The following is a 14103-nucleotide window of genomic DNA, read 5'->3' on the forward strand; positions in this document are numbered from 1 at the left end:
TTAACAAATATACTTTAGCATGTACTGAGAATCCCCTATTTATTTTTAATTTGGGCTAATCAATATGATTATTAATATTATTGGATTACCAAATTTGGAAACACACTTTCATCCCCAAGGTGCATATTTGTTTTATTTTTTTTTTTTTGCCAGTTTCTTGTCTTACTGTTTCAAATATTGTTGGATATTATTTTTATTTTATTTGGCATTTTAGTATCAACATTTGTAATTGAGGAACTCTACATATTTTTTCTTCAATATCTGGTGGGTTGTATAATTATTGTTATATTGGATTTGTAGTAGACATTGACAAAAATTATTCCTGTATGTTTTATAGCTGTATGAGGGAAACTAATATATTTTACCCCTAAATATATTTCCTTGATATATTTCAAAATGGCTATTGAGAAGGGCTGGAAATGCAAAGTTAGCTGCAAAGCTGTCTTGGGGAGATTTGCATCGGTAGAGAATATGCCTTGATGCAGCCAGGCTTTCTCTGAGGTCTGCCCCCTTGTCTGGATCTAGGAAAGTTTAACTGAGAGTCTCAGGTCTCCAAAGGTCTGAAAGAAACATTTTCTGTCTATTCTCTCTGAGGACTGCTCCCAGTGAAGTTCCACCTAGGTAATAAGTCCACTGTTGCTAGCCAGGGTCGTTTTCTCACATAACCTTTTTCTTTCTTTTCCCTGTGATCCAAGACCTCATTCTTTTTGTACACTTCATGTGGTAGATAAGCTTCTGCACGCATCGTGTGTCTGGGTCTTCGTTCTAAGGGCTCCAGTGTACACACATTGCAGAAAGCTGTATGCCTTTTCTACTATTTATCTGCCTCCTATTAGTGATTTTCAGGGAAAATTCATTAGGCAAAAGGGACATTCTCCTTTAGCCCATTCTCAGACAAAATCTCCCAACATTTAACTGATTCCTAATAGCTTAAAATCACTTTGAAAAATCCATATATTTATATCCTTTTCTTCCCTCTATGATTTCTGGTCAGCTTGGGTTTTGTTTTTCATTCCATTTACTTCATCCTCGAAAAGATCTATTTTACGTCTATTTATTCTCATTTATGGACATTGAGAAAAGAAAATAACTTTCATGTGAGAAATGCAAGTCCCTTTAAATAATCAGGCCCAGAGAGATATTCAAATGAGACAGCAGTTCTGTCCTTCTCCTCTTTGAGCTGTATGTTCACCTAGGCTGCTTGCTGTTGCCATAGTAGTTATAGCTATAAATTAACCAATAACGCCACACCAGACACTATAATCCACACCTGATAATAGTGTAACAGTGTATAGCCAGTCACTGATAAATGTTATTTCCATAAGCCAATGGGAATTTGTGACAAATCTCTTTGCATCATCCCACTTCTGGACCCCTTTTTGCCTTTAAGAAACTGCTTGTTGCAAAGCTCCAAAGGGAGTTCATATCCAAGGATACTTGGGTCTGTTTCTTCCAGGCAGCTGTCCTCATTGTGGCTCAAGTAAACTCTTTGAATTACGTTTTGTGCTTCAGCCCCTTCCACTTAGATTAACAACATGGATTTGTGTCACCATGTACAGCAATTAAAATGTTTACACTTTTCCCCTCGAGGGCACTGATGTGTTTTCCTGAGCACTTGGAATAGCTACGTAGTGTTTCCTGTCTAGATTATGGTTTCTGAACCTTGGTGCTACTTACCTTTAGGACCGGAGGATTCTTTGTTGTGGGAGGCTGCCTTAGCAATGCTAGGTGTTTCATTTGACCTCTAAATTTCACACCTCCACCAGTCTTGACATCCCCACAATAACCCTAGACATTGACAAATGTCTCCTGGGGAAAACTCTCTACCAGTTGACAGGCAAAGTTCTGGAAATATTGGAATTGTCAATTGAGATTTTATGTTATCCAAAACAAATATTTTTCTTTGTTTTTAAACATCTACTTCCATCTACTTATCTACTTATTTTTACTTTTATTTGTAACTTAATTCCATCAAGGAGAGAGAGTGCATTTTCTGTTATGCTAAATTTTTGAAGAATGTATTGACTTTTTATGACCTGATATATGGATGATATGTAGATATTACATGTTTGTATTATCAAATTTCAGGGCGTTAATAAAATAAATACTTACAATATTTATACTGTCACTGTATATTAGTTATTTTCTTTCTTCACTACAGGAGTTTTTCAACCTATAGGCTATTTTTCAATTCTAGGTTATCCAGTAGATTTTGAAATGTTATGATTAAATATCTACTTCTCAAGCATTCATCTTTGCAAATGAAACTATCCCAAGCTCTTATAAAGCACATCATATAAAGGGCAGATTAGTCAATATATGGTTCAGAAATAATTATGTAATATTTATAAGAAAATTAAAAATTTAGATCCTTAACTCAGATAACAATAATCCAAATTAAAATTTGATTTCATTACATAATTTAAAATGACACCAGAATACTAGTAAAATGTAGCTAAGTTTATATAATCTTTTTTAGCTGTAGGACTTTATTAGCATAAATTGAAATACAGCATCCAAAGCAAGATTGAGACCTATAGTCAAAGATTAAAATGTACACATCATAGGGGCATGATTAAACTAATTTAAAGCATAATAACATGGAGAAATATTGCGAAACATACATTTTACTGAATTAATTGTTAATATCTAATCATTATGTGAGAACAAAATTAAAGAGTAGCTACACAGGCGCACACCCACACACAACTGCAATATTGTCAAATAAACGATGTTCAGCTACACTAGAAATCACACCTGTGTTTTTTTCCACAGAAGAGCAAAGATTAAAAACACAATATTATTTATTGTACATATGGAGGTAAAGATACTCAAAATATTACCCAAAAATGCATTTTTTTTTGAGATGGAGTTTTGCTTTTATTGCCCAGGCTAGAGTGCAATGGCACAATCTTGGCTCACTGCAACCTCAGCCTCCCAGGGTCAAGTAATTCTCCTAGCTCAGCCTCCCAAGTAGCTGAGATTACAGGCATGCACCACCACACTCGGCTAATTTTTTGCATTTAGTAGAGACGGGGTTTCACCATGTAGGTCAGGCTGGTCTCCAACTCCTGACTTCAGGTGATCTACCCACTTCAGCCTCCCAAAGTGTTGGGATTACAGGCGTGCGCCTGGCCAGCTTTTTGACATATTTCAAGATGGCTACTCGGAAGACTGGAGATAGCTTCTTCTACAAAAATAGCTGAAAAGCTGTGTTTGTTGGGGAGATTTGTATTTGTAGAGAAAATCTGCATTGATATAGACAGGCTTTCCCTGAGATACTCCCTTGTCTGGGTTTAGGAAAGATTAACTGAGTCTGGCACGTTTACATTTCTAAAAACCATTTCCTATCTATACTTCCCAAGAGGAGGGCTGCTCCCTGTGAGGTTTCATCCATGTAACAAGACCACCTCTGCTGCCAGGCTCCTCTTTCTTCCTTGTCGTCACCTGTCTTCCGCAAAGCCTGATTTACCAACCTACAGCTCTGTGTTTTCTGTAACCTCAAGACAGTATAGGCGTGTTGACTACCTTGCCTTTCCTGGAGTTTTTATATATATAGTATATATTTGTATATCTCTTTATAATATACAAATATTTGTATAGATATATTATATATATTATGTAAACTCCAAGTGCATACTTGTGCACATATCTGTAAACCTTTTTTCCTGTTAATTTGTACATTATCAGTTTATTTTATAGACTCAAATAATTAAAGCTTCAAGGGAAAAATTGAAACTTTCCTATAGAGAAAAGACAACTATATAGGTGACAAATAATATTTAGAGTGTAAGATGTTTTTTAAAGGTATATTTGCAATTTGTGTCAAAACATTTAAGTATACATTTGTTACTTTAACTATAAAATTTCAAATAATTTAAGCAAAATACATAGTTTATGCAGAAAATTAGCAATATATCTATGTAGCACCTTACTGTGCATTACTGTAACCAGCCGTCTAACATAAAGAACTAATTAAGGTAGCACCTACTTTTCAAATATCGCATTTTTTTCACAGACCTATTAAATAAGACAAATAACATTTAAACTTTATTTTTAAATTTGCAGAATATTAGTTTTCAGCAGATGGTTTATTTTAGCAAATTCCATCTTCACATTGTGCTATGCTTCTATGAGTTCCAGCTGTTAACGGATCATATTTTACTGCTGAAACTATCATGTGTGATATAATTGCTCATTATGTGCCTTAAAACACAAGCAATATAATTATTTTCAACTTGGAGCAAATTAAAATCTTATCAGCAATTTAAAATCTCTAGAGTCGTCTTCTTCTGGTTAATTATTTTAAACTTGTATTTTTCTCTTTATGTTTTTAGTGAGTTGTCTTATCAAGGAGAAGAACTCAAGCTGATTATTCTTTTTTTTCTCTTCCATCCACCTCGCAGGTGTGTTAATAATTTCATTTCTCAGAAAATGTTCTTTCATATCCATCTTACAAGATGAGAGACCTTTCAACATCTTCCATTCGGATGTCATACGAGTAATGGAACATATTCCAGCTTCATGAATATGGTGATACAAATAGTTATCCGTCTAACCTCTTTCAGTGCCAAATGTTTACTTTACTCAGTGAATTACTCAGTTGACTGGTAATTTCTTCTGAAATCACTAATGAGAGGATCAGAGGTCTGGCTGTGGTCTGTACCTCATATGACTCCCAGTGCAGACAATTGTTTCTATGGAGCACAGACAGTTGAAAGGATTGACTTCCTGCCTAGAATAGTTTCTGCTGTGCTTCTTATCCTTCTTGTGGAGATTTCAGATTATCTGAATTGCTTTTCTATCTTAAGAAAAAACGCAACAATTCTCCCACCTGAGAGGCATGTAAACTGTAGTAAGTTAGCAGAACCAATCCGTAAAGTTTTTACATTGTTTGTTGCAAAATGCAGCGCTGGTGTCTCCATCACTAACCTTTTCCATCCCTCATTGCTCTTTCTTTGACTGCAATAGGATACCTCTAGGCAAATCTGTATTCCCGAGACAGAGTGCCCTTTTGGTGAGCTATAAGTACACTCAACGGTAGGCTGAAATACTAGCTTTTATCTATGGCGAAATTGAATCATATCAGTGATTTTTTTTAAAAAAGGAAATTTAACTCTTGCTATGGTTTGAATGCTTGCCCCTTCCAATCTCATGTTAAAATTTGATCCCCAATGTTGCAGGTGGGGCTCACTGGGAGGTGTTTGTTCATGGGGGTTGGACCTTCATGAATGGATAATACCCTCCCTTAGGAATCTAAAGCTATCCTCCCTCCTCGGTGCCCTCAGGAATGAGTGTACCATTCTTTATTCACCTATAATTCCCCCATCCATCCTTTTTGAGATATTGATTACATGTATGTTACACTGCTGCATATTGTCTGACGTATCTGTGAGTTTCTGGCTTTCCTATTTTAGTTTACCCTTTGTCCTTTAGTTTGTAAAGCTTCTATTTTGTTCTATAAATTTTCTGATGTTAGGGTAAAATCGATTACTCATTCTATCTCATGGAATTTTTATTTCAAATATTTATTTTTCATGTATACATGTCACATTTTTTACTTTATAGCTTCTATTTTTCTCCTATGTTCAATTTTCATTTAAGTACCTTGACATATATATGTATTTATTTATATGTATTTATAAAATATATTTACTTTAAGGACCTTGAAATTTCCTTCTTTTCTGTCATTTATAAATGACTTATTTTTATCCTGTTAATATATGTCTTAATTATATATATCTTACGGCTTCTTTGCATGTCAGAGTTTTTTTTTGGGGGGGGGTATTTTGGTGTTATGCTATTGAATATCTAGATTTGATTGGCTACCTTTGAACAATGTTGTGGCAGGCAGTTCAGTAACTTCAGGATGAGTATTTTTCTGTTGTTGTTTTAAATGTTTTCTTTAAACTTTGTTGAGTTATTCTAGAGCCATCTGTAATTTGGAGCTAAATGAGCACTGTCACTAGGGCATGAACCTCCAGTGGTCTTTACTGAATATCCTGGAGGTACAGAGGGGATTCCCTTCTCTGGCTGGTCAGAGCTAACGTGTCTTCCTGTCATGTGATGCCAGGGAAATGTTCTTCTTCCAACTCCCTGGTAGAGTCCTTTGCTGAGCTCCTTAGAATTTCATCCTATGTACATTTGGCTTAGGGACTTGGGAGAATCCTTAGGCTGATTCTTGGTTCCTTTTTCTGTAAACGTTCTCTTCTACTACACATTCCAGCTGCTTAACCTTTTTTGATTTTTATCTGGTTCCTCAGTGCAATGACAATGTCTGCTGTCTCTGGGATTCGTCTCTACTGCTGTCACGGAGAATCTGGGAATAAAGCAGGACTCATTCTGGCTCCTTCTCTTCTCTTGCCGAGCACAGTCCTGTGCTGCCTGATGTTCAGTACTTCAAAAAAATGTTTCATATATTTTGTCCAGTTTACTATTCTTTAACTCTAAAAGTGTAACTCCAGTCCCAGTTACAGCATCATGTTCTGTAACTCTACTCCTTCTTGCTTCATTCTGCCATTGTCTGGTATGATCTCCCGTTTCCCTTCTGTAATCAGGCCAAGAGCATAATATAATACTAGTTATAACTGCACAGGTTGCCTTCGTTGTGTAAAAAAATCCCTGAGACTTAACTGTGTCCAACTTTTAAAATGTGAATATAAGTACAACTAAAGTTATATTTTGGTTAATATTTGCATTGCATGCTTTTCCATTATTTACTTTCAACATATGTGAAATATGAATATAAATTATAAAAACTTTAAGAGAGTCCATTTAAAAAATCTGGCCTGGTAATGTTTTACCTGGTTTGATACAACGTGCATTCTTGAATTCAGGGTCTAATATAATTGGTACATCTATTTACAAAAAAAAAAAAAATGACAATATTTTAAAATTAATTTATCCAACTCACAACTTATATGCTTCTGCCGTTGTATGGAAGATACATGTTAAACTTTATGAGATAGCATTCTGTTATACAGTCAATATCCAATTAAATTTCTCTCAATGTTTATTTCTTTCATTAAAAAATTGTTCTTCTAACTGCAAACTTTCATCAGGGATCATGGCTCTTCTACCTGAAGAATAATCTTTAGTATTTCTTTTCCTGTGGGTCTGCTTGGGAGAAATTCTTTATTGTATCTTTGTATTTGATGGATATGTCCACCAAGTAGACAGTTCTAGGTCAGCACTTATTTTATTTCAGGACTTGAAAGATATCAATACCTCACTTGTTGGCTTTCGTTGTTTCATTTGAGAAAGTTGTTATCAGTCAACTCTTTCTCTTTGTAGTTAGCCCAATTTTTTTATCAAGTGCTCTTTACATTTTTCTTTTACTTTTCAGAAATTGTCCCATTATGTTTCTAGATGTGTCCTCTGTGTGTGTTTTCCTTTGCTTTGAAAAGCCTCCTGAACCTGTCGTTTAATATTATTGGCCAATTTTGATAAAACCTCAAACATTGCCACTTAAAATGCTGTTCAGACAAGCTGTTTTCTCCTTCTTAGATTTCAACGTGTTAGATTATTACTCTATCCTTCATATTTTTTAAATGACCTTTCTCTACAATTTTTTTTAGTTGGTTAATCTGTATTAGTGTATATTTTGTTATTTTATTCTATTTTATTTTATTATTATACCTTAAGTTTTAGGATACATGTGCACCATGTGCAGGTTTGTAACATAAGTGTTCATGTGCCATGTTGGTGTGCTGCACCCATTAACTCGTCATTTAGCATTAGGTATATCTCCTAATGCTATCCCTCCCCACTCACCCCACCCCACAACAGTCCCCGAAGTGTGATGTTCCCCTTCCTGTGTCCATGTGTTCTCATTGTTCAATACCCACATATGAATGATAACATGTGGTGTTTGGTTTTTTGTCCTTGTGAGAGCTTACTGGTCAGATGAGTAGGTTGCAAAAATTTTCTCCCATTTTGTAGGTTGCCTGTTCACTCTGATGGTAGTTTCTTTTGCTGTGCAGAAGCTCTTTAGTTTAATTAGATCCCCTTTGTCAATTTTGGCTTTTGTTCCCATTTCTTTTGGTGTTTTAGACATGAAGTCCTTGCCCAGGCCTATGTCCTGAATGGTATTGCCTAGGTTTTCTTCTAGGGTTTTTATGATTTTAGGTCTAACATGTAAGTCTTTGATCCAACTTGAATTAATTTTTGTATAAGGTGTAAGGAAGGGATCCAGTTTCAGCTTTCTACATATGGATAGCCAGTTTTCCCAGCACCATTTATTAAATAGGGAATCCTTTCCCCATTGCTTGTTTTTGTCAGGTTTGTCAAAGATCAGACAGTTGTAGCTATGCGGCATTATTTCTGAGGGCTCTGTCCTGTTCCATTGATCTATGTCTGTGTTTTGGTAACAGTACCATGCTGTTTTGGTTACTGTAGCCTTGTAGTATAGTTTGAAGTCAGGTAGCGTGATGCCTCCAGCTTTGTTCTTTTGGCTTAGGATTGACTTGGCGATGCGGGCTCTTTTTTGGTTCCATATGTACTTTAAAGTCGTTTTTTCCAATTCTGTGAAGAAAGTCATTGGTAGCTTGATGGGGATGGCATTGAATCTATAAATTACCTTGGGCAGTATGGCCATTTTCACGATATTGATACTTCCAATCCAAGAGCGTGGAATGTTCTTCCATTTGTTTGTATCCTCTTTTATTTCATTGAGCAGTGGTTTGCAGTTCTCCTTGAAGATCTCCTTCATGTCCCTTGTAAGTTGGGTTCCTAGGTATTTTATTCTCTTTGAAGCAATTGTGAATGGGAGTTCCCTCATGATTGGGCACTCTGTTTGTCTGTTATTGGTGTACAAGAATGCTTGTGAATTTTGTACATTGATTTTGTATCCTGAGACTTTGCTTAAGTTGCTTATCAGCTTAAGGAGATTTTGGGCTGAGACAATGGGGTTTTCTAGATATACAACCATGTCATCTGCAAACGGGGACAATTTGACTTCCTCTTTTCCTAATTGAATACCGTTTGTTTCCTTCTCCTGCCTGATTGCCCTGGCCAGAACTCCCAACACTATGTTGAATAGGAGTGGTGAGACAGGACATCCCTGTCGTGTGCCAGTTTTCAAAAGGAATGCCTCCAGTTTTTGCCCATTCAGTATGATATTGGCTGTGGGTTTGTCATAGATAGCTCTTATTATTTTGAGATACGTCCCATCAATACCTAATTTATTGAGAATTTTTAGCATGAAGGGCTGTTGAATTTTGTCAAAGGCCTTTTCTTCATCTATTGAGATAATCATGTGGTTTTTGTCCTTGGTTAGGTTTATATGCTGGATTATGTTTATTGATTTGCATATGTTGAACCAGCCTTGCATCCCAGGGATGAAGCCCACTTGATCATGGTGGATAAGCTTTTTGATGTGCTGCTGGATTCGGTTTGCCAGTATTTTATTGAGGATTTTTGCATCAATGTTCATCAAGGATATTGGTCTAAAATTCTTTTTGTTGTGTCTCTGCCCGGCTTTGGTATCAGGATGATGCTGGCCTCATAAAATTAGTTAGAGAGGAATCCCTCTTTTTCTATTGATTGGAATAGTTTCAGAAGGAATGGTACCAGTTCCTCCTTGTACCTCTGGTAGAATTCTGCTGTGAATCCATCTGGTCCTGGACTCTTTTTGGTTGGTAAGCTATTGATTATTGCCATAATTTCGGAGCCTGTTATTGGTCTATTCAGAGATTCAACTTCTTCCTGGTTTAGTCTTGGGAGAGTGTATGTGTCGAGGAATTTATCCATTTCTTCTAGATTTTCTAGTTTATTTGCATAGAGGTGTTTGTAGTTTTCTGTGATGGTAGATTGTATTTCTGTGGGATCGGTGGTGATTACCCCTTTATCATTTTTTGTTGCATCTATTTGATTCTTCTCTCTTTTCTTCTTTATTAGTCTTGCTAGTGGTCTATCAATTTTGTTGATCTGTTCAAAAAACCAGCTGCTGGATTCATTAATTTTTTGAAAGGTTTTTTGTGTCTCTATTTCCTTCAGTTCTCCTCTGATTTTAGTTATTTCTTGCTTTCTGCTAGCTTTTGAATGTGTTTGCTCTTGCTTTTCAAGTTCTTTTAATTGTGATGTTAGGGTGTCAATTTTGGATCTTTCCTGCTTTCTCTTGTGGGCATTTAGTGCTATAAATTTCCCTCTACACACTGCTTTGACTGTGTCCCAGAGATTCTGGTATGTTTTGTCTTTGTTCTCGTTGGTTTCAAAGAACATCTTTATTTCTGCCTTTATTTTGTTATGTACCCAGTGGTCATTCCGGAGCAGGTTGTTCATTTTCCATGTAGTTGAGCGGTTTTCAGTGAGTTTCTTAATCCTGAGTTCTAGTTTGATTGCACTGTGGTCTCAGAGACAGTTTGTTATAATTTCTGTTCTTTTACATTTGCTGAGGAGAGCTTTACTTCCAACTATGTGATCAAGTTTGGAATGGGTGTGGTGTGGTGCTGAAAAAAATGTATATTCTGTTGATTTGGGGTGGAGAGTTCCGTAGATGTCTATTAGGTGTGCTTGGTGCAGAGCTGAGTTCAATTCCTGGGTGTCCTTGCTAACTTTCTGTCTCATTGATCTGTCTAATGTTGACAGTGGCATGCTAAAATCTCCCATTATGATTGTGGGGGAGTCTAAGTCTCTTTGTAGGTCACTAAGGACTTGCTTTATGAATCTGGGTGCTCCTGTATTGGGTGCATATATATTTAGGATAGTTAGCTCTTCTTGTTGAATTGATCCCTTTACCATTATGTAAAGGCCTTCTTTGTCTCTTTTGATCTTTGTTGGTTTAAAGTCTATTTTATCACAGACTAGGATTGCAACCCCTGCCTTTTTTTGTTTTCCATTTGCTTGGTAGACCTTCCTCCATCCCTTTATTTTGAGTCTATGTGTGTCTCTACACGTGAGATGGGTTTCCTGAATACAGCACACTGATGGGTCTTGTCTCCTTCTCCAATTTGCCAGTCTGTGTCTTTTAATTGGAGCATTTAGCCCATTTACATTTAAAGTTAATATTGTTATGTGTGAATTTGATCTTGTCATTATGATGTTAGCTGGTTATTTTGCTCGTTAGTTGATGCAGTTTCTTCCTAGTCTCAATGGTCTTTACAATTTGGCATGTTTTTGCAGTGGCTGGTACCGGTTGTTCCTTTCCATGTTTACTGCTTCCTTCAGGAGCTCTTTTAGGGCAGGCCTGGTGGTGACAAAATCTCTCAGCCTTTGTTTGTCTGTAAAGTATTTTATTTCTCCTTCACTTATGAAGCTTAGTTTGGCTGGATATGAAATTCTGGGTTGAAAATTATTTTCTTTAAGAATGTTGAATATTGACCCCCACTCTCTTCTGGCTTGTAGAGTTTCTGCTGAGAGATCAGCTGTTAGTCTGATGGGCTTCCCTTTGTGGGTAACCCGACCTTTCTCTCTGGCTGCCCTTAACATTTTTTCCTTCATTTCAACTTTGGTGAATCTGACAATTATGCGTCTTGGAGTTGCTCTTCTTGAGGAGTATCTTTGTGGCGTTCTCTGTATTTCCTGAATCTGAATGTTGGCCTGCCTTGCTAGATTGGGGAAGTTCTCCTGGATAATATCTTGCAGAGTGTTTTCCAACTTGGTTCCATTCTCCCCGTCACTTTCAGGTACACTAATCAGACGTAGATTTGGTCTTTTCACATAGTCCCATATTTCTTGGAGGCTTTGTTCATTTCTTTTTATTCTTTTTTCTCTAAACTTCCCTTCTTGCTTCATTTCATTCATTTCATCTTCCATCCCTGGTACTCTTTCTTCCAGTTGATTGCATCCGCTCCTGAGGCTTCTGCATTCTTCATGTAGTTCTTGAGCCTTGGCTTTCAGCTCCATCAGCTCCTTTAAGCACTTCTCTGCATTGATTATTCCAGTTATACATTCATCTAATCGTTTTTCAAAGTTTATAACTTCTTTGCTATTGGTTTGAATTTCCTCCTGTAGCTCGGAGTAGTTTGATCGTCTGAAGCCTTCTTCTCTCAACTCGTCAAAGTCATTCTCCGTCCAGCTTTGTTCCATTGCTGGTGAGGAACTGCGTTCCTTAGGAGAAGGAGGGGCGCGCTGCTTTTTAGAGTTTCCAGTTTTTCTGCTCTGTTATCTCCCTATCTTTGTGGTTTTATCAACTTTTGGTCTTTGATGATGGTGATGTACAGATGGGCTTTTGGTGTGGGTGTCCTTCTGTTTGTTAGTTTTCCTTCTAAAAGACAGGACCCTCAGCTGCAGATCTGTGGGAGTTTCCTAGAGGTCCACTCCAGACCCTGTTTGCCTGGGTATCAGTAGCGGTGGCTGCAGAACAGCAGATTTTCATGAACCACAAATTCAGCTGTCTGATCGTTCCTCTGGAAATTTGGTCTCAGAGGACTACCCGGCCGAGTGAGGTGTCAGTCTGTCCCTACTGAGGGGTGCCTCCCAGTTAGGCTGCTCGGGGGTCAGTGACCCACTTTAGGAGGCAGTCTGCCCGTTCTCAGATCTCCAGCTGCGTGCTGGGAGAACCACTACTCTCTTCAAAGCTGTCAGACAGGGACATTTAAGTCTGCAGAGGTTTCTGCTGACTTTTTGTTTGTCTGTGCCCTGCCCCCAGAGGTGGAGCCTACAGAGGCAGGCAGGCCTCCTGGAGCTGTGGTGGGCTCCACCCAGTTCCAGCTGCCTGGCTGCTTTGTTTACCTAAGCAAGCCTGGGCAATGGTGCGTACCCCTCCCCCAGCCTCACTGCCGCCTTGCAGTTTGATCTCAGACTGCTGTGCTAGCAATCTGTGAGACTCTGTGGGCGTAGGACCCTCCAAGCCAGGTGCAGGACACAATCTCCTGGTGTGCTCTTTTCCAAGCCCATTGGAAAAGCACAGTATTAGGGTGAGAGTGACCTGATTTTCCAGGTGCCGTCTGTCACCCCTTTCTTTGACTAGGAAAGAGAACTCCCTGACCCTTTGCACTTCCCGAGTGAGGCAATGCCTCGCTGTGCTTCAGCTTGCACATGGTGCGCTGCACCCACTGTCCTGCACCCACTGTTGGGCACTCCCTAGTGAGATGAACGCGGTACCTCAGATGGAAATGCAGAAATCGCCTGTCTTCTGAGTTGCTCATGCTGGGAGCTGTAGACCAGAGCTGTTCCTGTTCGGCCATCTTGGCTCCACCCCTCATTTCATTATTTCATCATTTCATCATTTCATCATTTCACTTCATTTCATCATTTCATTTCATTTCATCATTTCATCCCATTTCTTCATTTCATCATTTCATCTTTTCATTTCATCATTTCATCATTTCATTTCATTTCATTTCATCATTTCATCATTTCATTTCATCATTCCATTTCATCATTGCATTATTTCATTGCATCATTTCATCATTTAATTTCATGTCATCATTTCATTTCAACATTTCACCATTTCATTTCATCTCATCATTTCATTTCATCATTTCATCGTTTCATTTCTTCATTTCATCATTTTGTTTCATCATTTCATTTAATCATTTCATTTCATTTCATCATTTCATCATTTCATTTCATTTCAGTGATACATGCATTTAAGTGCTAATGTGATGCCCAGGAGACACCCTATTTCCCTTTGTAAAACACCTCCTTCAACAAAAGGCAACCTCACATGGCTGGCTAAGTCTACAGGGATACCAGCCTCTCTTCAACCACCCAATTTCATTTAGAACTTCAAACAGCACCTCAGTTTCATAAAAACCTAAAACATAAACACAACACTTGGTTGTAAGTGAGCCAACTGTTTCTTGTCTCTTTCTCTGCTCAAGGCTTAAGGCCGTGTCTCCCCAACTATGTTCAGTGGAAGAAAAGATCCCCTGGACAAATAAGTTTGAGAACTGTTGTTGCAGGAGTTCTCAGAACCTTTTAAACGCAAATCCTCATCCACAGGGATCTTCAGGAGGGAGATGGCTGATGCAGCACAACTTTCTTTCACAGGAGCATCTTGCAGAATACAGTATGAGATACAGAAAGGCTGCATTGAGTCTTTTTAAGGGCCCGGGCCTTGGCGAGGGTGGGGTAGGAGCTCTCCAGATAGCATCTAATGAGTAGGAACATTCAGGTTGCTTTATTTTTTCCTTATTGGCAAAACTGTGTGTGTACCAT

General features: G+C 37.9%; 3 annotated features.

Annotated features, from left to right (window-relative positions):
* Positions 2923-3424: an enhancer, noted in NCBI's record as "OCT4 hESC enhancer chr16:32843933-32844434 (GRCh37/hg19 assembly coordinates)". NCBI's record gives its function as "activates a minimal SCP1, AML or CMV promoter by ChIP-STARR-seq in primed H9 embryonic stem cells {active_cell/tissue: H9 hESC(primed)}" and the evidence as "EXISTENCE:reporter gene assay evidence [ECO:0000049][PMID:30033119]".
* Positions 4400-4901: an enhancer, noted in NCBI's record as "NANOG hESC enhancer chr16:32845410-32845911 (GRCh37/hg19 assembly coordinates)". NCBI's record gives its function as "activates a minimal SCP1, AML or CMV promoter by ChIP-STARR-seq in primed H9 embryonic stem cells {active_cell/tissue: H9 hESC(primed)}" and the evidence as "EXISTENCE:reporter gene assay evidence [ECO:0000049][PMID:30033119]".
* Positions 8064-9040: an enhancer, noted in NCBI's record as "OCT4-NANOG hESC enhancer chr16:32849074-32850050 (GRCh37/hg19 assembly coordinates)". NCBI's record gives its function as "activates a minimal SCP1, AML or CMV promoter by ChIP-STARR-seq in naive H9 embryonic stem cells {active_cell/tissue: H9 hESC(naive)}" and the evidence as "EXISTENCE:reporter gene assay evidence [ECO:0000049][PMID:30033119]".

Source organism: Homo sapiens, chromosome 16 (genome assembly GCF_000001405.40).
Source record: "Homo sapiens chromosome 16, GRCh38.p14 Primary Assembly".
NCBI lineage: Eukaryota > Metazoa > Chordata > Mammalia > Primates > Hominidae > Homo > Homo sapiens.